Consider the following 23244-nt stretch of genomic DNA (forward strand, 5'->3'; position numbering starts at 1 on the left):
AGGTCAGGAGTTCAACACCAGCCTGACCAACATGGTGAAACCCCTTCTCTACTAAAAATACAAAAATTAGCCAGGTGTGGTGGCAGGTGCCTGTAGTTCCAGCTACTCGTAAGGCTGAGGCAGGAGAATTGCTCGAACCCGGGAGGCAGAGGTTGTAGTGAACCGAGACCACACCATTGCACTCCAACCCGGGTGACAAAGTAAGACTCCTTCTCAAAAATAATAATAAAATTGATTATATCTACACCTATCAACCTCTATGAATCACAGAAATAATAAATTGTGAGCTGGATTGAGTAGCAGGTGCCTGTAGCTCTAGCTACTCAGGTGGCTAAACAAGGAGGATCACTTGAGTTCAGGAGTTCAAGGCCAGCCTGGACAACACAGAAAGACCCATCTCAAAAACCATTTTTTTTTTCTTTTTGTTTGAGATGGGGTCTCACTCCGCCACCCAGAATGGAGTGCAGTGGCACAATCATGGCTCACTGCAGCCTCAACCTCCCAGGCTCAAGTGATCCTCCCACCTCAGCCTCCCAAGTAGCTGGGACTATAGGCACACCACACCACACCTGGCTAATTTTTGTACTTTTTGTAGAGACAGGGTTTTGCCATGTTCCCCAGGCTGGTCTCAAACTCCTGGGCTCAAGCGATCTGCCCGTCTTGGCCTCACAAAGTGCTGGGATTACAGGCATGAGCCACCATGCTCAGCTTCTGACCTAATTTTTTAAAAAATATCTTTGGAAGCCAGGTGCAGTGGCTCACACCTGTAATCCCAGCACTTTGGGAGGCTGAGACAGGCAGATCACTTGAGCCCAGGAGTTCCAGATCAGCCTGGGCAACATGGCAAAACCCCATCTCTACTAAAAACACAAAAATGAGTTGGGCTTGGTGGCACGTCCCTGTGGTCCCACCTACTTGGGAGGCTAAGGTGGGAGGATCACTTGAGCCCGAGGAAGTAGAGGCTCCAGTGAGCCATGATGGTGCCCCTACACTCCAGCCTGGGCAATGCAGTGAGGCCCCATTTCTAAAATAGATAGATAGATATTCCAATATGATTTGTATAATGTTTACATATTTGTGAAATAATGTTTTATACTGTTTATGGATAAAAATATATGTAGTAGGTCAGGGGTGGTGGCTCACACCTGTAATCCCAACACTTTGGGAGGCCGAGGCTGGTGGATCACCTCCTGAGATTGGGAGTTTGAGATCAGCCTGACCAACATGGAGAAACCCCATCTCTACTAAAAATACAAAATTTGCCGGGCACCGTGGTGCATGCCTGTAATCCCAGCTACTAGGGAGGCTGAGGCAGGAGAATCGCTTGAACCCAGGAGGCAGAGGTTGTGGTGAGCTGATGTGGCACCATAGCACTCCAGCCTGGGCAGCATGGAACATGTACATAATAGATTGCTATTCAGAGCCAAACTCCGTCTCAAATATATATATATATATGTAGTAAAATTTTAAAGAAATAAACAGAAAAGATATGCAACAAATTCAGGTTTGTGGTTTCTTTGGAAGGATGAGAAAAAAGATTGAGGGGGTTATGCAGGGGTCTTCACATATATTTATAATATAGTAAAATTATAATCTACATTTTATTATTTTGTAAATTGTTTGTTTATTACTCTGTTGCCTAGGCTGGAGGGTGGTAGCGCAATCACAGCTCACTGCAGCCTTAATCTCCTGGGTTCAAGCAATGCTCTCACCTCAGCCTCCTAAGTAGCTAGGACTGTAGACAAGTGCCACCACACCCAGCTAATTTCTTAATTTTTTGTAGATATGGGATCTCACTATATTGCCCAGGCTGGTCTCAAACTCCTGGCCTCAAGTGATCCTCTCACTTCGGCCTCCCAAAGTGCTGGGATTACAGGCATCAGCCACCAAGCCCAGACTAGAGTTTTTCTATATATATGCAAATTTTGCATTTCACCCCAAAATTTATCCATATTTGTTTTAATATTGATTTTATGTTAATTATACACGAGTCAGCTTATGCTTTTGACTCTGCAATTCCATGTCTGAAAATTTTCTAAGGGGGTGGGGACTAAAAAATGGACAATGATATGTGAACACAGAGTTACAACCCTATTCCATCATGAAAACTGCAAACTTCATAATGTCTAGTGATAAACGTTCTCTGAAGTAAATTATGGTATATCTAAACAAGCACATACAGTTGCAGCCATTAAATTAACTAACTAGGGCTAGGCGCAGTGGCTTACACCTGCACTCCCAGCACTTTGGGAGGCCAAGGCTGGTGGATCACCTGAGGTCAGAAGTTCAAGACCAGCCTGGCCAACATGGTGAAATCCCGTCTCTACTAAAAATACAAAAATTAGCCCGGCGCCGGGCGAGGTGGCTCATGCCTGTAATCCCAGCACTTTGGGAGGCCAAAGTGGGCGGATCACCTGAGGTCAGGAGTTCAAGACCAGCCTGACCAACATGGAGAAACCTCATCTCTATTAAAAATACAAAATTAGCTGGGTGTGGTGGCACATGCCTGTAATCCCAGCTACTTGGGAGGCTGAGGCAGGAGAATTGCTTGAACCCAGGAGGCAGAGGTTGCTGTGAGCAGAGACAATGCCATTGCACTCCAGCCTGGGCGACAAGAGCAAAACTCTATCTCAAACAAACAAAAAAATTAGCCAGGTATGGTGGCCTATGCCTATAATGCCAGCTACTCGGGAGGCTGAGGCAAGAGAATGGCGTGAACCCGGGAGGTGGAGCTTGCAGTGAGCCGAGATCGCGCCACCGCACTCCAGCCTGGACGACAGAGCAAGACTCCGTCTCAAAAAGAAAAAAAAAAAAAAGATTATATGTACAATGTGATCTGCACTATAGGAATCATATGGAACATCAATAAAAGACCAGAACGGGGCTGGTCTAACTAGGGCCCGGTGCAGTGGCTTACACCTGCAATCCCAGCACTTCTGGAAGCCGAGGCTTCCTTTAAAAAAATTAATTTTTTTTTTTTTTGAGACGGAGTCTTGCTCTGTTGCCAGGCTGGAGTGCAATGGCACGATCTCAGCTCACTACAACCGGTCTCCTGGGTTCAAGCGATTCCCGTGCCTCAGCCTCCCAAGTAGCTAGGACTACAGGCATGCACCACCATGCCCGGCTAATTTTTTGTATTTTAGTAGAGTCGGGGTTTCGCCATGTTGGTCAATCTGGTCTCGATCTTCTGACCTCATAATCCACCCACCTCAGCCTCTCAAAGTGCTGGGATTACAGGCGTGAGCCACCACACCCGGCCTCAAATATTTTTAATGTAATGCTGTTAGCATATCAGATTTGCCAGGGAGAGCCAGGGAGAGCTGCTGACCTTAGGAAAATTTGTTAGCTTCTCTAAACCTCAGCTTCTTTGTCTGTAAAGCATAAATAACAATACTTCCCTCAAAGACAGTGAAATGTTTGTAAAGTAACACGTAGGATAATGCCTGCCCATAATCGGCCATCAGTAAATGCCAGTGTCCATACTGTCATATGCATAATGAGTATGTTAGAACAGAAATTAACTATGATTATTAGGGCTCCAGGATGTGTGTGTGTGCACACGCATGCAAGTATGGGCATTGTTAATTATGGTGGGTTTTTCAGGAAGACAAATTATAAACACAGGTATATTGACATTTCGATCTAAGTGGTCATAAACCAGATAGGTAGTTTTATTAAAAGATTTACCCTAAGAACACTCCTTCTATTCCCATTTCTGACATCCTACCCACACCCACATTCATCGACTACCATGTCTTCATAATGTCGTAGAATGACATTGTCATTATTGTCCTGGTAGAGCATGGAAATGGGAGACAGCTTGGTGGGGATACACACAGCCTGGGGGATCTCTGGGTCAACGGCATGCATCAGGGCTTGCATGAAAGCATAATTGGAGCTGTTGAGAGAGATGGTCAGTGAGAAGGGACACTCTCCATGGCAGTAATTTGCCATGAACCCCTTGGGGGCAATGATCCACTTGTGCCAACCCAGGTCCCGGAAGTTAATGAATAGCTGGTGACGGTGGCAGAGGTTCTTACAAGAAAGCTTGGGGACAGGGATGGCTGCTCTCCTTTTCCGAGAAGGGTGGCACTGATCAGGGTTGAGAGTCACCACCAGCAGGGAAGCATGAAGGGAGCATCTTAGTCTGGCACAGGTGTCTTCAGGCTGAAAATTCACCCCTGAGTCTCTATCTTCTTTGACCAGTATCTCCAGGAATAACCCGAAATTTTTCCGGGGGTTGTCATTCCAATCCTTAGCTACATCCAGCAGGTTGAAGTGAACAGCACCTTGTGGCCATGGGACTGACCGCAACACAAACATTTTACCTGGCTTAGGGGTGGTCTGGCCCCACACATGAGGCTCCTGAACCAGGAACAGAGCCAGTTCCAGCTCTGGTCCCAGGTTATAGTAAGAATTGGGCCCCAAGTCCAGGCCCAGCTGGGCCAATGTCAACTGTTCCCTTTCTTTGATGGCAGACAGGTTAAAGTAGAGGAGCTTCTGCAGGCAGGAGGAAGCTTGGGAAATTTTCTTTGGGTAAAGAAAGAAACCTAGATGGGAAAAGAGACATGTCAGAGTCATAATGATGTATTTACTTCATATCCACCTATATAATAGAAATGCCAGACACCCACATATACAATATAAGGGCAGGGAAAGACACAAGCCCTGTCATTTGGGAGGGTTTGTTTCTCTATTCCTGAAAGCCAGAGGGTCCCCAGGTGCGGCGGCTCACGCCTGTAATCCCAGCACTTTGGGAGGCCGAGGCGGGCGGATCACGAGGTCAGGAGATCGAGACTATCCTGGCTAACATGGTGAAACCCCGTCTCTACTAAAAATACAAAAATTAGCCAGGCGTGGTGGCGGGCGCCTGTAGTCCCAGCTACTCAGGAGGCTGAGGCAGGAGAATGGCGTGAACCCGGGAGGCGGAGCTTGCAGTGAGCCGAGATCGCGCCATTGCACTCCAGCCTGGGTGACAGAGCAAGACTCCGTCTCAAAAAAAAAAAAAAAGAAAGCCAGAGGTTCTTATCTTCACATCCACAGGTTCCCAGAGATTCCTGGATGAAATGTAGAGGGTGCACGAACTTAGATGGGAAAAATAATTACATCATTATTTCCACTAAACTCTAAATGAAATTTAGCATTTCCTTCATTATGAATATAGGTAACAAATCCCAGTAATATCATCAGGGCCTATGACATTGTTATCAATAAAATCATAGGTGTGTTCATACGTTTAGTTGTTGCAAATAACTTAAAATATTTATGGAGTCCAGGCAAGGTGGCTCATGCCTGTAATCCCAGCACGTTGGGAGGCTGAGATGGGAGATTTGCTTGAGGCCAGGAGTTTGAGACCATCCTGGGCAACATAGTGAAACCCCATCTCTACAAAATAAATAAATAAATAAAAGAAAAGAAAAAGAAAAAAAAAAACAAAACACTTATGCTAACACTATGCCGAAATTTATGGTAGTTATAGGTATAGTCACCTCCCTAAATCTTGTTATGTATTACATGAATAAAGCATTATATATATTACTATATATACATTTGTCTTTAAAATATTTTAAAAGCCAGGCGTGGTGGCTCATGCCTGTAATCCCAGCACTTTGGGAGGCCGAGGCGGGCGGATCACGAGATGAGGAGATCGAGACCATCCTGGCTAACACGGTAAAACCCCATCTCTACTAAAAATACAAAAAATTAGCCGGGCAAGGTGGAGGGTGCCTGTAGTTCCAGCTACTCAGGAGGTTGAGGCAGGAGAATGGTGTGAACCCGGGAGGCGGAGCTTGCAGTGAGCCAAGATCACGCCACTGCACTCCAGCCTGGGCGACAGAGCAAGACTCTGCCTCAAAAAATAAAAAATAAATAAAAAATAAAAAAAGTTTTAAAAAAATTTTAAAATGTATTTCAATATTTAATTGGTTTCTTTTGAAATCCTAAATATTTTACTTTAGGCACTTAAACCATTATTCTGAGAAAGAGTCAATAGACTGGGCCGGGACATGGTGGCTCACACCAGTGATCCCAGCACTTTGGGAGGCCAAGGCGGGCAGATAACCTGAGGTCAGGAGACCAGACTGACCAACATGGAGAAAACCTGTCTCTGCTAAAAATACAAAAAAATTAGCCGGGCAGGGTGGCACATGCCTGTAATCCCAGCTACTCGGGAGGCTGAGGCAGGAGCATCACTTGAATTTGGGAGGCAGAGGTTGTGGTGAGCCGATATCACACCATTGTACTCCAGCCTGGGCAACAAGAGCAAAACTCCGTCTCAGTTAAAAAAAAAAAAAAAATAGCAACCTAGACAGTCAGGTGTTGTTGGCCAAAGTCCAATCATTCAGATTGGCTTTAATTTTTTTTTTTTTTTTCTGAGACGGAGTCCTGCTCTGTTGCCCAGGCTGGAGTGCACTGGCTTGATCTCAGCTCACTGCAACCTCCGTCTCTCGGGTTCAAGCAATTCTCCTGAATCAGCCTCTGGAGTAGCTGGGATTACAGGTGCACACCACGTCTGGCTAATTGTATTTTTAGTAGAGACGGGGTTTCACCATGTTGGCCAGGCTGGTCTCAAACTCCTGACCTCAGGTGATCCGCCCACCTCGGCCTCCCAAAGTGTTGGGATTACAGGCAAAAGCCACCACACCCAGCCAATTTTTTTTTTAAGTTTTTGTAGAGATAGGGTCTCTCTATGTTGCCTAGGCTTATCGAGAACTCCTGAGCTCAAAGGATCCTCCCACGTCTCAAAGTGCTGGGATTACAGTCACGAGCCACTGTGCCCAGCCTCTCCTCATATTGAAGTACAATGTGATTCTTCGATTTTTGTCCATGGATGCCCCTCTTCTGAAGTTACAAATGTGCTCTCCCTGTTTTCTAAGCTAACTTTCCTGCCTGAATTTTCAAATTTTACCTATTCCTCTAGGAAAAGGCCCAATACAGTCTACTTTTACTATTTGCATCTTCAATTTCTCCCTTTTCACAAATAACTCATTTGGCCTCTAATGCCATCATTTTGTTTGGTAGAATGACTTCACGCTTGAGTAGGTATTTTCTCTCTTTTTCTTTCCCCGAGATGGAGTCTTGCTCTGTCACCCAGGCTGGAGTGCAGTGGTGCGATCTTGGCTCACAGCAACCTCTGCCTCCCGGGTGTTCAATCGATTTTCCTGCCTCAGCCTCCAGAGTAGCTGGAATTACAGGCGCCCGCCACCACACCTGGCTAATTTTTTTTTTTTTTTTTTTTGGTATTTTTAGTAGAGACGGGGGTCAGGGGAGTGGGGGGAGGGCCTTACCATGTTGGCTAGGCTGGTCTCGAACTCCTGGCCTCGTGATCTGCCTGCCTCGGCCTCCCAAAGTGCTGGGATTACAGGTGTGAGCCACCACGCCCAGCCTTAAGTAGGTATTTTCTGAGGTCATTCAGCTTAGGGAGAAATTACAACTCAAACCGAAACACTCTTAAGCACCCCACCACCACACCTCTTCATTCTCAAGCATCATTCAAAACCTAACAAAATTTGGCTGGGCATGGTGGCTCATGCCTATAATCCCAGCACTTTGGGAGGTCAAGGCAGGCCATTGCCTGAGCTCAGAAGTTAGAGACCAGCCTCATGGTGAGACCTCATCTCTATAAAAAAGTACAAAAATCAGCCTGGCGTGGTTGCGTGCACCTGTAGCCTGTAGTTCCAACTACTCTACTCGGCAGGCTGAGGTGGGAAGATCGCTTGAGCCCAGGAGGTGGAGGCTGCAGTGAGCCGAGATTGTGCCACTGCAGTCCAGCCTGGGTGACACAGCAAGACCTGTCTCAAGGGGAAAAAACAAAAAGAGGAAGAACAAGAGGAAGAAGAAGAAAAGCCTGAAGTACTTGACCAGGCAAATTCTGAGGGAGTACTTCAGGCAGCCTGGATACAGCACGTGTGAGGATGAGACAAGAGTGCATGCTCTAGAAGGAATAGACTACTATGAGCTTGGAGTTGAGTGTGCAAGGAGAGGGTGTAAAAGGTGAGACTGGGGAAGTAAGCAGCAGGGTCAGAACAGGCAGGGCATGGTGGGTCAACTCTTGCAGAATTTTGCAGACGAGAATTTTACGTGGAGGAGCAGTACGACTCAATACGCATTTTTAAAAGGTAATTCTGGGCTGGGTGCGGTGGCTCAGGCCTGTAATCCCAGCAGTTTGGGAGGCTGAGGCAGGCGGATCACCTGAAGTCAGGAGTTCAAGACCAGCCTGGCCAACATATAGTGAAACCCTGTCTCTACTAAAAAATTAAAAAATTAAAAAATTAGCTGGGCTTGGTGACACACGCCTGTAATCCCAGCTACTTGGGAAGCTGAGGCAGAAGAATCACTTGAACCCAGGAAGCGGAGGTTGCAGTGAGCTGAGAAAGTGCCACTCTACTCCAGCCTGGGGGACAGAGCGAGACTCTCAAAAAAAAAAAAAAAAAAAAAAGGCAAACTTTATCTTGTATTCTCAAGGCCATACACAGTTCCTGGCTCACCATAGGTATCCAATAAGTGCTTCTTGGACAAATAAATATTCAAATCTTCTCTCCAGTTGCTGTAAAACTAACCAAGGCTCTAAATTCTGCATCTGAAACACCCGGGAGGTTGTATAGACATGCAGATTCTCAACACCCATTTCAGACTTTGAATAAGAATTGGGTGGGGAGAACTAGGGGCAGGAATGGGGTTGGAGGATCTACTGTTAATGGAAGACCTAAGTTATTTGGTGGGTGGTCAGTTTGGGAAAGTACTGGATCCCACTCACTGAGATCCTTTTAAAAGGATATGACAGTTGTATATATTATTGCTCTCTATTCACAAATCTAGAATAACCTTTGCCACCCAACAAGAGTAGCCAGGAGGTACAAATAAGGGAAGCAGGACTCCTGGGCAAACCAACCTCAAAATTTTCATACCCTGCTTGCCACATGGAAGACGGCAGGATGTGTATATATGGGCTGCAGGGTGGGAGACTGAGCTCTGATTCCTCCCTCACCTCTTTCATCTCAACTGAAGCACAAAGCAGTTGATTCAGAAAACAAAAACCTATTTCAAATCCTGACTTTGTTCTCACACACTAGCTGTATGATCTTGAATAGATTACAGGTTACCTACTGTCTGAGCCTAATTTCCTTACTGTTAGGAACTTGATAAGAATATCTAACTTCCTCTCAGGATCGTGGCTGGAATTAAATGAGACAAAATATGAAAAATACCAGCACAAGGCCATCAGTAATTGTCATTTCCTATTGTCCTTTCCTTTCTTCACACCACCCAGTTCCAGATGTTTTTCTGGATAACACTCTATTTCCTTACCTTGGTCTGGGAGAAAGCGAAGTACATTCCCGCGGACGCCCAGCTCCTTTACGTAGCATAAGTCTCGGGAGACCCCAGTGGTCGCTGCTGCCTCGCGATCCTGGAAAATTTTCTTCAAGATATAAGGCACAGGTTGGAACTTCTGGGGTGAAGGCGCCTTATCTAAGCCCAGAAATTGGAGAAAGACATATTCTTGAAATTGGACTGCCTGGCCCAAAGCCAGAATTAACAGGAAGCTGAAAGCCAAATCTGGCAAGAAACGAAGCATGGCCTCTGGAGTGGCTGTCAGACCGGGGAGAGCTCCACTGCCAGACTGCCCAACAATTCAGAGGCTGCTAATTTATCTGATGTAAGATAATCAAGTGTGAATTGCTCTCTTCCCAGCTCCTCAAAGGCCATTGGATGTGAAGAGGGAATTTTTTTTTCTCTTCTCTTGCTCTACTCTTCCAGGAAAAAGTTCACAGAACAAAGATTACCAATGCATGGACATAAATTCTACAACAATGTGAGGTTGTCAGCAGTAGACAGAGTGAAAAGGAGACATGCATTTATTCATTTAACAAACAGTTACTAAGCATCTATTATGTGCACGGTGCTGAGATAGGTGCTAGGAATAGAGCAGTGAATAATTCATAGACTTGTAATTAATCATCTACATAGACCAAGCTTGTCCAACCTGCGGCCGGAGGGTCACATGAGGCTCACGATGGCTTTGAATGCAGCCCCACACAGATTCATAAACTTCCGTAAAACATTATGAAACTTTCTTGTGATTTTTTTAAGCTCATCAGCTATCATTAGTGTTAGTATATTTTACGTGTGGCCCAAAACAATTCTTCTTCTTCCAATGTGACCCAGGGAAGCCAAAAGATTGGACACCCCTGGATTAGACAAATACTCAAGTAGATTTCATTATTTTATTTTTATTTTTATTTTTATTTATGTATTTATTTATTTTTGAGACAGGGTCTCGCTCTGTTGCCCAGGCTGGAGTGCAGTGGCCTGATCTTGGCTCACTGCAAGCCTCGACCCCCTGAGCTCAAGAGATCATCCCACCTCAGCCTCTGGAGTAGTTGAGACTACAGGCATAGGGCACCACTTCCAGCTAATTGTTTTATTTTTTACAGAGATGGGGCCTTGCCATGTTGTCCAGACTGGTCTTGAACTCCTGGTCTCAAGCAGTCTTCCCACCTCGGCCTCCCAAAGTGCTGGGATTGTAGGCATGAGCCACTACACCCAGCCGCCAGCCTTGTTTCTCACCACCCACCATCCTTAGTGTGGATGCTCTAATTACATTGACCTATTTGTAGCTCTGTGAGCTCATTTCATCTCAGAGCCTTTACACAGACCAAGTTCAAAGGTCACCTCTACTTCCACAGTTTCGACTCACCAAAATAGATTGAGATACTTCTTTCTCCCACTGAGCCATACTTGGGCATCCATTACAGTTTTTTTGTTTTTTTGTTTTTTTTGAGACGGAGTTTCGCTCTTGTTGCCCTGGCTGCAGTGCAATGGCACGATCTCAGCTCACCACAACCTCTGCCTCCCAGGTTCAAGCAATTCTCCTGCCTCAGCCTCCCTAGTAGCTGGGATTACAGGCATGCGCTACCATGCCCGGCTACTTTTGTATTTTTAGTAGAGACGGGGTTTCTCCATGTCGGTCAGGCTGGTCTCAAACTCCTGACCTCAGGTAATCCACCCACCTCGGCCTCCCAAAGTGTTGGGATTATAGGTGTGAGCCACTGCACCCGGCCCTCCATTACAGTTTCTGCAGTGCATTTTACTGTGTTTGCCTCCTTCCTTTTCAGACAACTCACACCTTGAGGATCAGAACTGTGTCTCTTTGCCTAAGTATCTTCAGTGTGTCTTTTTCCCCAAAGTATCTCCACTGGTGAAGAAAGTGTCCGGCAGGTAGCAGACATTTGATAAGTATCTGTGCAAAAAATAAATTAAGGAATTAATTGGTTGCTATTTCTAGAGGTCTCACTCTTTTATATAGTGAGGTCTTCCCCATTTCTTTTTTTTCTTTTTTTTTTTTAGAGACTAGGTTTGGGGAGTGTCTCACTGTGTTGCCCAGGCTGGCCTTGAATTACTGGATCAAGGGAATCTTCTGCCTCAGCCTCCAAGTAACTAGAACTACAGGCAGGTGCCACTGCTCGCAGGTCCCACTTCTCTTATCTCCTGTTTCTATCTTATTTAACACTTTTAAATTAATCTACAATCTTAACCTTTTTTCAACAATAAGAGTAGGTTGTATTTGGGTTTTCTTTATTTGACTTTCCTGACTTAAGGTCAGAAATCAGACTAACTGGTTCAAATTCTGGTTCCACTACTGATTAGTTATGTGACCATGAGCAAGCCACTCAAGTGTAAAATGGGAATAAAATATTCTTCGTTGCTGGGCGCGGTGGCTCATGCCTGTAATCCTAGCACTTTGGGAGGCCGAGGCGGGCGGATCACGAGGTCAGGAGATCGAGACCATCCTGGCTAACATGGTGAAACCCCGTCTCTACTAAAAATACAAAAGAATTAGCCGGGCATGGTAGCGGGTGCCTGTAGTCCCAGCTACTCGGGAGGCTGAGGCAGGAGAATGGCGTGAACCCAGGAGGCGGAGCTTGCAGTGAGCAGAGATCGCGCCACTGCACTCCAGCCTGGGATAGAGCAAGACTCCGTCTCAAAACAAACAAACAAACAAACAAAAACATTCTTTGTTAAGGTGCTGAGGGCAACTCGTAAAATAATGTACAGATGACATTCAGGACAATGTCTGCCGAATGGAAAGCACTCAATAAAAGTTAGCTATTATTATTATCGTCATTATTATTAATTAAAGAGGAGGTCGATCAGGTGCAGTGGCTTGTGCCTGTAGTCCCAGCCGCTTAGAAGCCTGAGGTGGGAAGATCCCTCGAGCTCAGGAGTGCGACGCCAACCTGGGTACTATAGCAAGACCCAGTTCCTAAAGGAAAAAAAAAAGGTTCAGCAGAGCACAAGCTAAGAGAAAAAGAAAAAAAAAAAAAAAAAAAAAAAAAAGGCAGGGAGAGAGGTAGTTTGATCATGGAGGGAAAAAGAAGTAATAGAGAATGTGCAGTTGCCTAGCAGGAAAAGCACCAAATCGGCCAGGGGATCTGAGTTAAGCACAGCATTTCCAATTACGATGTAATCGTAGGCTGGGCGCGGTGGCTCACTCCTGTAATCCCAGCACTTTGGGAGGCCAAGGTGGGCAGATCACCTGAGATCAGGAGTTTGAGACCAGCCTGACCAACATGCTGAAACCCCGTCTCTACTAAAAATACAAAATTAGCCTGGAGTGGTGGCGTTTGCCTGTAATCCCAGCTACTCAGGAGGCTGAGGCAGGATAATCGCTTGAACCCAGGAGGCGGAGATTGCAGTGAGCTGAGATCGCACCATTGAACTCCAGCCTGGGCAACAAGAATGAAACTCCATCTCAAAAATAAATAAATAAATAAATAAATAAACAATGTAATCTTAGGCAATTCACTCAGTCTTTTATGATATATACTCAGGCATGGAAATTTTTCAAAGTGAAGAATTGGAATGGTCTGATATGTCATACAGGGCTAACCTATTTGGGACTCACTTTGCTTACCTAAGAAATCATAGGATTGAATTTTATTGTTTTTAAAGATTCTATAAGCAGACCAGGTGCAGTGGCTCACGCATGTAATCCCAGCACTTTGGGAGGCCGACATGGGTGGATCACCTGAGGTCAGGAGTTCAAGACCACCCTGACCAACATGGTGAAACCCCATCTTTACTAAAAATACAAAACTTAGTGGGGCATGGTGGCAGACGCTTGTAATCCCAGCTACTCGGAAGACTGAGGCAGGAGAATTGCTTGAACCCAGGAGGCAGAGTTTGCATTGAGCCAAGATCACGCCACCATGCCACTGCACTCCAGCCTGGGCAACAGAGCAAGACGCTGTCTCAAAAAAAAAAAAAAAAAAAAAAAAAAAGATTCTATAAGCAAAGCCACTGTAATTCTGGACTTTGAGCCCAAATCAGAAAATAAAAATCAGCCAAGCACAGTGGCCAGGTGGATCATTTGAGGTCAGGAGTTCGAGACCAGCCTGGCCAACATGGTGAAACCCCATCTCTACTAAAAATACAAAAATCAGCTGGGCCTGGTGGTACATGCCTGTAATCCCAGCTACTCAGGGGGCTGAGGCAGGAGAATTACTTGAACCCGGGAGGTGGGGGTTGCAGTGAGCTGAGACTGTGCCACTGTTCTCCAGTCTGGGTGACAGAGCGAGACTTGTCTTAAAAAAAAAAAAAAAAAAGAAAAAGAAAAGAAAATCAAGGCAATATAGCTAGGTAGTATAGAATTGGTTCTGGAGTCATGGACTTAAGACTAAAATCCTAACTCAATCGCTTACTGGCTGTGGGTCCTGGAAAAATTGTTTCTCTGGTCTTTAGTTTTCTAATCCATAAAATGCGAAAAGGAGGGAGGGTGGGAGGAGGGAGAGAATCAGGAAAAATAATGAATGGATACTAGGTTTAACACCTGGATTAAACAATCTGTACAATGGGTCCCCGTGACACTCATTTACCTATGTAACAAACCTGCACATCCTGCACATGTACCCCTGAATTTAAAATAAAAGTTGGCCGGGCACGGTGGCTCACGCCTGTAATCCCAGCACTTTGGGAGGCTGAGGCGGGCGGATCACGAGGTCAGGAGATCGAGACCATCCTGGCTAACACGGTGAAACCCCGTCTCTACTAAAAATACAAAAAAATTAGCCTGGCGTGGTGGAGGGTGCCTGTAGTCCCAGCTACTCCGGAGGCTGAGGCAGGAGAATGGCCTGAACCTGGGAGGCGGAGCTTGCAGTGAGCCAAGATCACGCCACTGCACTCCAGCCTGGGCGACAGAGCAAGACTCCGTCTCAAAAAAATTAAAAATTAAAAAATTAAAAATAAATAAAAGTTAAGGACTGAGCGCAGTTGCTCATGCCTGGAATCTCAGCACTTTGGGAGGCCAAGGCGAGCAGATCACTTGAGGTCAGGAGTTCGAGACCAGCCTGACCAACATGGTGAAACCCTGGGTCTACTAAAAATATGAAAACAATTAGCTGGGCATGGGGGCGCGCACCTGTAATCCCAGCTACTCGGGAGACTGAGGCAGTAGAATCGCTTGAACCCGGGAGGTGGAAGTTGCAATGAGCCAGGATTGTGCCACTGCACTTCAGCCCGGGCGACAAACAGAGACTCTGTCCTCAATAATAAATAAATAAATAAAAGTTAAAATGATACAATAAAATAAAATGAGAAAAATATCAGTCCAGCAGAATTATTGTTATCATAAACATAAAAAATTTTCAACTTCACTAGTGAAAAAAAGAAATGCAAATTAAAACAATGAAATGTCTTTGTCTATCCAATTAGCAAGATGAAAAAAGACAACGGCTTGTGTGGATGAGGAAACAAGGAAATTAACGCTATTATACACAGGTCTAGGTATACATTAACATAACTTATCTGGAAGAAAAATTTGTAATATATACTAAATGTTTAAAAACTATTCCTGGCCAGGCGTGGTGGCTCACGCCTGCAATCCTATCACTATGGGAGACCAAGGAGGGTGGATCACATGAGGCCAGGAGTTCAAGAGACGTCTGGCCAATATGACAAAACCCCACCTCTATTTAAAAATTAAAATTAAAAATAAAAATTAAAAAAAATTTGAAAACCCAGCTGGGCATGGTGATTCATGCCTGTAATCCCAGTGCTTTGGTGGAGCAGAGGCAGGAGGATCCCTTGAGCCCAGGAGCTATGATTGCTCCGCTATGTGATTGCTCCGCTATGTAATTGCTCCACTCAGCCGGGCGCGGTGGCTCACGCCTGTAATCCCAGCTCTCAGGGAGGCACAGGCGGGAGGACAGCTTGAACCCAGGAGTTCAAGACCTGCCTGGGCAATATAGCGAGACCCCGTTCTCCACAAAAAGGAAGAAAAAAAAAAAGAAAAAAAAATTAAGTGTAATTGCTCCACTCTAGCCCAAGTAACAGAGCAAGAGCTTGTCTTGAAAACAAACAAACAAAAAACACTCAGGAGGAGAACGTCAAATATAATGAAGCTTCTTCTTCAACCCTTATACTCTACCACCCTCCCATTGATAAATGAGCTCCTTTTCCTAATAGAAATGTCTCGTTGTTGTTGTTTGAAACTTTTTTTCTCAACTGAATTGTGGACACCTCTTCCATCTGTTCTAAACATGATATGATCATTAGTAGGGATATAAGAAAGTTGAGGCCAGGCACGGTGGCTCATGCCTGTAATCCTAGCACTTTGGGAGGCCGAGGCAGGTGGATCACTTGAGGTCAGGAGTTAAAGACCAGCTTGGTCAACATGATGAAACCCCATCTCTACTAAAAATACAAAAATTAGCAGGGCATGGTGGCACACACCTGTAATCCCAGCTACTTGGGAGGCTGAGGCATGAAAATCCCTTGAACCCAGGAGGCGGAGTTGGAAGTGATCCGAGATCACAACACTGCACTCCAACCTGGGCAATAGAGTGAGACTCGGTCTCAAAAAAAAAAAAAAAAAAAGTTGAGAAGAATCTTCAGAAATTAAGGAAAACTCCTTGAGATGTCCTGTACTAATTACACGCCATGCCCTGGTGACCATTTCTACCTTTCTTACTAGTTTTCAAAGAAAGGAAATGAGTACAGGCAATGAGACATTATCGAAATAGGTTGAATAGAATTTGCCGAGGGTACATACAAAGCCAACATACCAAAACTAACTTTTGAAAAGAATCTCACGTCCAGGCACGGTGGCTCACCCCTGTAATCCTACCACTTTGGGAAGCCGAGGTGGGAAGATCACAAGGTCAAGAGATCCAGATCATCCTGACCAACATGGTAAAATCCCGACTCTACTAAAAATGAAAAAAATAAAATAAAATAAAATAAAATAAATCAGCCGGGCATGGTGGCAGGCACCTGTAATCTCAGCTACTCGGGAGGCTGAGGCAGGAGAATTGCTTGAACCCTGGAGGTGGAGGCTGCAGTGAGCAGAGATTGTGCCACTGCACTCCAGCCTGGGTGACAGTGCGAGACTCCATCTCAAAAAAAAAAAAAAAAGATTTACATTTTATATTATCTTCTTTTTTTTTTGAGATGGAGTCTTGCTCTGTTGCCCAGGCTGGAGTGCAGTAGTGCGGTCTTGGCTCACCACAACCTCCACCTCCCGGGTGTTCAATCGATTCTCCTACCTCAGCCTCAGCCTCCCAAGTAGCTGGGATTACAAGTGCCCGCCACCACACCCGGCTAATTTTTTGTATTTTTAGTAGAGATGGGGATTCACCATGTTGGCCAAGCTGGTCTTGAACTCCTGACCTCGTGATCTGCCCTCCTTGGCCTCCTCACTGGAATTACAGGCACGAGCCACCGAGCCCGGCCATATTATCTTCTTATTAAATTATGTCTAATTATCAATTCAGGGTACATAAAGGGCCAGGCATGGTGGCTCACGCCTATAATCCCAACACCTGATTTTTTTTTTCTTTCTCTTCTCTTCTCTTTTCTTTTCTTATTTTTGAGATGGAGTCTTGCTCTGTTGCCCAGGCTGGAGTGCAGTGGTGCAACTTTGGCTCACTGCAACCTCCGCCTCCTGGGTTCAAGTGATTCTTGTGCCTCAGCCTACACCACCAGGCCTGGCTAATTTTTGTATTTTTAGTACAGACAGGGTTTCACTATGTTGGCCAGGTTGGTCTTGAAACCCTGACCTCAAGTGATCTGCCTGCCTCGGCCTCCCAAAGTGCTGAGATTCCAGGCATGAGCCACCGCGCCTGGCTCCATACTGTACACTTTGATTTTGGGGGTTTATTTTTATTTTTATTTTTATTTTTATTTTTTTGAGAGAGTCTTACTGTGTCACCCAGGCTGGAGTACAGTGGTGTGATCTCGGCTCACTGCAGCCTTCGCCTCCCACGTTCAAGTGATTCTCCTGCCTCGGCCTCCCAAGTAGCTGGGATTACAGGTGTGTGCCACCACACCCGGCTAATTTTTGTATTTTTAGTAGAGATGGGATTTCACCATGTTGGTCAGGCTAGTCTCGAACTCCTGACCTTGTGATCCACCTGCCTTGGCCTCCCAAAGTGCTAGGATTACAGGCATGAGCCACCACACCCAGCCATACTGTACACTTTGAAAGTGTAGCAGGACGAGTCTCAGACAAAACTCCTCAGACACCAGATTAAAGAAGGAAGAGGTTGTTTTATTCGGCCGGGAGCATCGGCAGACTCGTGTCTTAAGAGCTGAGCTCCCCGAAAAAGAAATTCCTAGCCCTTTTAAGGGCTTACAACTCTAAGGGGTCTACGTGAAAAAGTTATAATAGATCAAGTAAGCATGAGAAACGTGACTGGGGGCTACATACATCAGCTTACAGAACAAAAAGTTTTACAGTGCTTTCTCATACAATGTCTGGAATTTACAGATAACACCAGTAGTTTTGGTCAGGGGTTAATAATATTATTATTATTTTAGCCACCAGGGCCAGGTGGTGGCGCCAAGGTCGTCTAGCTATTTATCTTACTTCTGTTTCTTTCCAACTTTTTGCTTTCTCCCTTTTCTCCTGTCTTATAAACTAGGGAAAAGGGGAGGTTGGGGAGAAACTGAGAAGGCCAACAGGAGAAGTGGTGGCCTCATACCATAAAAGGAGTCACCATGTGCAGTTCACACCTAAGAAGTGGGTAGTTGGGTGTGCCCCCCCACCCCTGTCTTGAGCATACATTGTTTGGAATTCTTCTGCAATTCTAAAGAGAGTTGGAACTCTTGTCCAAAACTTAAAAAAATTAGCCGACTGTTGGGGTTCATGCCCGTAATCCCAGCTATTCAGGAGTCTGAGGTGGGAGGATAGCATGAGCCCAAGAGTTCAAGGCTGCAGTGAGGTATGATGACGCCACAGCACTCCAGCCTAGGAGGCAGAGCGAGACTCTTTGTCAAACAAACAAACAAAAAATAGCCCAGAGAGAGAGTTGTCTCTTCCTGTCCAATTATTAATTTGTCCTATCATTTATTTATATCAGAGTGACCTCATGAATATTTATTTTAAACTTTGGGTGATAATCCAATACTACTTATTTATTTTGTGGCTCAAGCTGTTCCAGGTCTTTTAGTTGGCTCCTGTGCTCCTACCAACAGGTGTGTTGTTTTTGGTTCTTTTTTCTTTTGAGACAGTCTTGCTCAGTCACCCAAGCTGGAGTGCAGTGGTATGAACAAAGCTCCCTACAGCCTTGATTTCCTGGGCTAGAGTGATCCTTCTGCCTCAGCCTTCTGACTAGCTGGGACTACGGGCGTGTGCCACCACTCCCAGCTGATTTTTGTGTTATTAGTAGAGACGGGGTTTCACCATATTGGCCAGGCTGGTCTCGAACTCCTGACCTTGTGATCTGCCCGTCTCAGCCTCCCAAAGTGCTGGGATTACAGGCATGAGCCACTGCTCCCGGCCATGTTGTTTTATCTAATTCAAGGAGAGACAAGAGCCCTGGTGTTCCTTCATTCACCTGAACAGTATCAAAGTGATCCACCTGCCTTGGCCTCCCAAGGTGCTGGGATTACAGGTGTGAGCCATCACGCCTGGTCTGACAATGCTCTTATCTTACATATTTTCTTCCCAGTCCTAGAATTAGCCATTTCTCCAAGGAGCTCTCGTTCTTTTTATTGGAGAATGTTACTAGAAAGTAAGATCTCGCCGGGTGCGGTGGCTCACGCCTGTAATCCCAACGTTTTGGAAGGCCGAGGCGGTGGATCACCGGAGGTCAGGATTTCGAGGCCAGCCTGGCCCACATGGCGAAACCCCGTCTCTACTAAAAACACAAAAATTAGCCGGGCGTGGTGACACGTGCCTGTAATCCCAGCTACTTGGGAGTCTGAGGCACAAGAATCGCTTGAATCCGGGAGGCAGAGGTTGCAGTGAGCCAAGATAGCGCCACTGGACTCCAGCCTGGGCGACAGAGCGAGACTCTGTCTCAAAAAAGAAAAAGAAACAATGAAACACAAAGTTATTCTTAGGCAACACCCCACCAGCATTACTCCCTGTACATTCTGTGGAGCTCTATAAATACACAAAACAAGTCTTTCCTGAAATCTCATCCTTAAGCAAATCTGGGAATGCTAACAGTATTTACTACCCTCTTCTGAGAGGCCCGAGTGACCTTTAGTCAGGGTTCCAGATAGCCTCACTCAAACAGCGCATTTTGGGAAATCTACCACCCATCTTCCCCTCTTTCTATCAGAGCCACCATTTCTTCCAGCAAACTCTTTAGAGGGCTGTCATCGTATTGTCATCATTAAGTATTTTCCACTAAGCTATTAAATAATTGGCCCTGGGAGTATTAATTTCTCACTGTGGAATTCCAAAAACTAAGGAGGATTCCTGGAGAGGAAGGCAACTGAGGGCTGCGGGAGGTGAGGAGGAGGCGTGGACGCCAGGAGTTGTTTTGCTCACACGCCCCGCGGCGTCCCGCCTAGGTGAGCTCCGGACCCTCCCGCCCCACCCCAGCGGGGCTGCTCGACTCCGTCGTGCCCCCTTGGGCTTCCACTGCAGGAATGCAAGGCGGGTAACCTTCAAAGCCAGGTGGAAACGTCCGGTTTGAACCGCACATATGCTAGGGTGGAGAGTGAGAACGAATGCAAAGAGAGGCTAGCGTTGGGGTGGGGCTGCCGGGGCAAAGGGACAGGCCCGGGGGAGGCCCGGGCCGCCACGGTTAGAAAGCATGGAAAGAGCTTAAGTAAAATAGCTGCGTGTCGGCAGGGCGCGGTGGCTCACGCCTGTAATCTCAGCACTTTGGGAGGCCGAGGCGGGCGGATGACCTGAGGTCGGGAGTTCCAGACCAGCCTGACCAACATGGAGCAATCCCTGTCTCTACTAAAAATACAAAATGAGCCGGGCGTGGTGGCGCGTGCCTGTAATCCCAGCTACTGAGAAGGCTGAGGCAGGAGAGTTGCTTGAACCCGGGAGACGGAGGTTGAAGTGAGCCGAGATGGCGCCACTGCACTCCAGCCTGGGCAACAAGATCGAAACTTCATCTCAAAAAACAAAAAAAAAAAAAAGAAAAAAAAAGAAAGAAAAGAAAAATAGCGGGCCGGGCACGGTGGCTCACGCTTATAATCCCAGCACTTTGGGAGGCCGAGGCGGGAGGATTACCTGAGGTCGGGAGTTTGAGACCAGCCTGACCAACATGGAGAAACCCCGTCTCAACTAAAAATACAAAATTATCCGGGTGTGGTGGCGCATGCCTGTAATCCCAGCTACTCAGGAGGCTGAGGCAGGAGAATCGCTTCAACCTGGGAGGCGGAGGTTGCGGTGAGCCGAGATCGTGTCATTGCACTCCAGCCTGGGCAACAATAGCGAAACTCCGTCTCAAAAAAAAAAAAAAAGAAAGAAAAATAGCTGCATGTTGGTAGGGTTTTCCAAAATAGCAGCCCTCATCTTCCCCTTACCAGGCTTTCCCTCTCTGGAATACCATACACACACATACACGCACACACACACATATACATGTGTGTATGTATATATATATGAATTTGTTTCAAAATGGGAGGTCAAAAAAATATATATTTTTGTGACAGGGTCTCTGTGGCCCAGGCTGGAGTGCAATGGTGCAATCATAGCTCACTGCAGCCTTCAACTCCTGGGCTCAAGCCATCCTCCTGCCTCAGTGACCCGTATTGGGTACCCATATCGGGGACCACAGGCCTGTGCCATCAGCCCCAGCTAATTTTTACATTTTTTGGGGGAGACCTTGCCTCGCTTTGTTGTTCAGGCTGGCCTCAAACTCCTGGGCTCGAGAGATCCTCCCACTTCAGCCTCCCAAAGTGCTGGGATTACAGGCCTGAGCCGCCATGGTCGGTCCACTTAAAATACGTTTAAATAAATTTGTTATGCTTACCTCTTGTTAATCTGTCTTCTGTTATAGAAGTGTCAGGTATGAGGCTGGGCACGGTGGCTCACGCCTGTTATCCCAGCACGTTGGGAGGCTGAGGCGGGTGGATCACCTGAGGTCAGGAGTTCGAGACCAGCCTGGCTAACATGGTGAAACCCTGTCTCTACTAAAAAAAATTAGCTGGACATGGTGGCTCATGTCTGTAATCCTAGCTACTCGGGAGGCTGAGGCAAGAGACTCGCTTGAACCTGGGAGGCGGAATTTCTGCTCCCACTTCAGCCTTCAGAGTAGCTGGGACTGTAGGCACGAGCCACCATGCCCAGCTAATGTTTGTATTTTTTGTAGAGACAGGGGTCTCACTATGCTGCCAAGGCTGGTCTTGAACTCCCGGGCTCAAGTGATCTTCCGGCCTCCGCCTCCCAAAGTGCTGGAATTATAGGATTGAACCACCAGGCCCAGCCCTGTTTCCTCTATACACATAACAGATTTTCATAACTGAACTTACGAACTTTTTAAAATTATAACTCTTTACCATGTATCATTAAACACTTAAATAATTTTCATTACTCATCCAGACTCAATGCAATGTTCTTGTGGATTTCCCTATGTTCATTCTTGCTCCCCTTTCCCCTTCTCTTATGTGTTTTACAGCTGATAATTGTTTTCTCCCCCATTTTTTTCTTTTTCTTACTCCCCTCTTTCCTTCCCCACCTTTTTTTTTTTTTTTTTTTTTTTTTTTTTTGATACAGAGTATTGCTCTGTTGCCCAGGCTGAAGTGCAGTGGCCCATCCAGGCTCATTGCAACCTCGCCCTCCCTGGTTCAAGGGATTCTCCCACATCGGCCTCCCAAGGAGCTGGGATTACAGGCACATGCCACCATGCCCCGCTGATTTTTGTATTTTTAGTAGAGATGGGGTTTTGCCACGTTGGCCAGGCTGGTCTCAAACTCCTGGCCTCTCTGTTGGCCTTCCAAAGTGCTAGGATTACAGGCATAAGCCACTGTGCCTGGCCCCTTTACCCCTTTTTCCCCCACTTTTTTAAATTCAAAAAGTTGTATGTGCATATACTATAAAGTAGCACATAGTTCTAAGTTTCTTAAAACAGACACATGTCCCAACTGCCGTCCTCTGTTGCATTTTTCATTTTCTTTTTCCTATAAGCACCCACTTTAAACTTTGGTATGGATGGCTTTTGGGGGGCATTTGTGTATTTCTTTTCTTTTTTTTGTTTTTGTTTTTGAGACAGAGCCTCTCACTGTGTCACCCAGGCTGGAATGCAGTGGCGCAATCTGGGCTCACCGCAACCTCTGCTTCCCGGGTTCAAGCAATTTTCTCACCTCAGCCTCCCCAGTAGCTGGGCCTACAGGCATGTGCCACCACACCCGGCTAATTTTTGTATTTTTAGCAGAGGTGGGGTTTCACCATGTTCGCCAGGCTAGTCTCAAACTCCTGGTCTCAAGTGATCTGCTCCCAAAGTGCTGGGATCCCAGGCGGGAGCCACCACGCCCGGCCTTTGTGTATTTCTGTAGAGCAAGTTTTTTTGTTGTTTTGTTTTGTTTTTGAGATGGAGTTTCACTCTTGTTGCCCAGGCTGGAGTGCAATAGCATGATCTCGGCTTACTGCAACCTCTACCTTCTGGGTTCAAGCAATTCTTCTGCCTTAGCCTCCAAAATAGCTGGGACTACAGGCATGCACCACCACGCCTGGCTGATTTTTGTACTTTTAGTAGACACGGGGGTTTCACCATGTTGGCCAGGCTGGTCTCGAACTCCTGACCTCAGGTGATCCACCCACTTTGGCCTCCCAAAGTGCTGGGAGTCCAGGCATAAGCCACCGTGCCTGGTCTATAGAGCAAGTTTGTAATGATATGTCTTGATTTTTTCCATTTAGGCATCCTTGCTTGACTTCTAACGTGCAGATGTGGCTTTTTTCCTCTTCCTTCTCATGTATTAACATATTTCAAATTTGGTTCCTCATCCTTCTAATTTGCTTCTTTTCTTTTTTATTTGTCTTTTTTTTTTTTTTTTGAG

General features: G+C 46.1%; 1 protein-coding gene across 1 annotated transcript, besides 3 other annotated features; it reads right to left on the minus strand.

The window, feature by feature from the left end:
• Nucleotides 3630–9621, minus strand: GDF3 (growth differentiation factor 3). Its single transcript, NM_020634.3, has 2 exons — nucleotides 9307–9621; nucleotides 3630–4550 (listed from the first exon to the last, which is right to left on the minus strand). Exons 1-2 carry the CDS (start codon nucleotides 9572–9574, stop codon nucleotides 3724–3726), a joined length of 1095 nt encoding a protein of 364 aa, NP_065685.1. The 5' UTR covers nucleotides 9575–9621; the 3' UTR covers nucleotides 3630–3723.
• Nucleotides 7465–8102: an enhancer, noted in NCBI's record as "H3K27ac hESC enhancer chr12:7846215-7846852 (GRCh37/hg19 assembly coordinates)". NCBI's record gives its function as "activates a minimal SCP1, AML or CMV promoter by ChIP-STARR-seq in primed H9 embryonic stem cells {active_cell/tissue: H9 hESC(primed)}" and the evidence as "EXISTENCE:reporter gene assay evidence [ECO:0000049][PMID:30033119]".
• Nucleotides 18157–18830: an enhancer, noted in NCBI's record as "H3K27ac-H3K4me1 hESC enhancer chr12:7856907-7857580 (GRCh37/hg19 assembly coordinates)". NCBI's record gives its function as "activates a minimal SCP1, AML or CMV promoter by ChIP-STARR-seq in primed H9 embryonic stem cells {active_cell/tissue: H9 hESC(primed)}" and the evidence as "EXISTENCE:reporter gene assay evidence [ECO:0000049][PMID:30033119]".
• Nucleotides 21557–22182: an enhancer, noted in NCBI's record as "H3K27ac-H3K4me1 hESC enhancer chr12:7860307-7860932 (GRCh37/hg19 assembly coordinates)". NCBI's record gives its function as "activates a minimal SCP1, AML or CMV promoter by ChIP-STARR-seq in naive H9 embryonic stem cells {active_cell/tissue: H9 hESC(naive)}" and the evidence as "EXISTENCE:reporter gene assay evidence [ECO:0000049][PMID:30033119]".

This window comes from Homo sapiens, chromosome 12 (genome assembly GCF_000001405.40).
Source record: "Homo sapiens chromosome 12, GRCh38.p14 Primary Assembly".
NCBI classification, from domain to species: Eukaryota; Metazoa; Chordata; class Mammalia; order Primates; family Hominidae; genus Homo; species Homo sapiens.

Coding starts and splice junctions, on each gene's coding strand:
- GDF3 (NM_020634.3), bottom strand. CDS start 9,574: ATGCTTCGTTTCTTGCCAGATTTGGCTTTCAGCTTCCTGTTAATTCTG. Junction 4,551..9,306: donor TCGCTTTCTCCCAGACCAAG/GTAAGGAAATAG, acceptor TTTCCCATCTAG/GTTTCTTTCTTTACCCAAAG.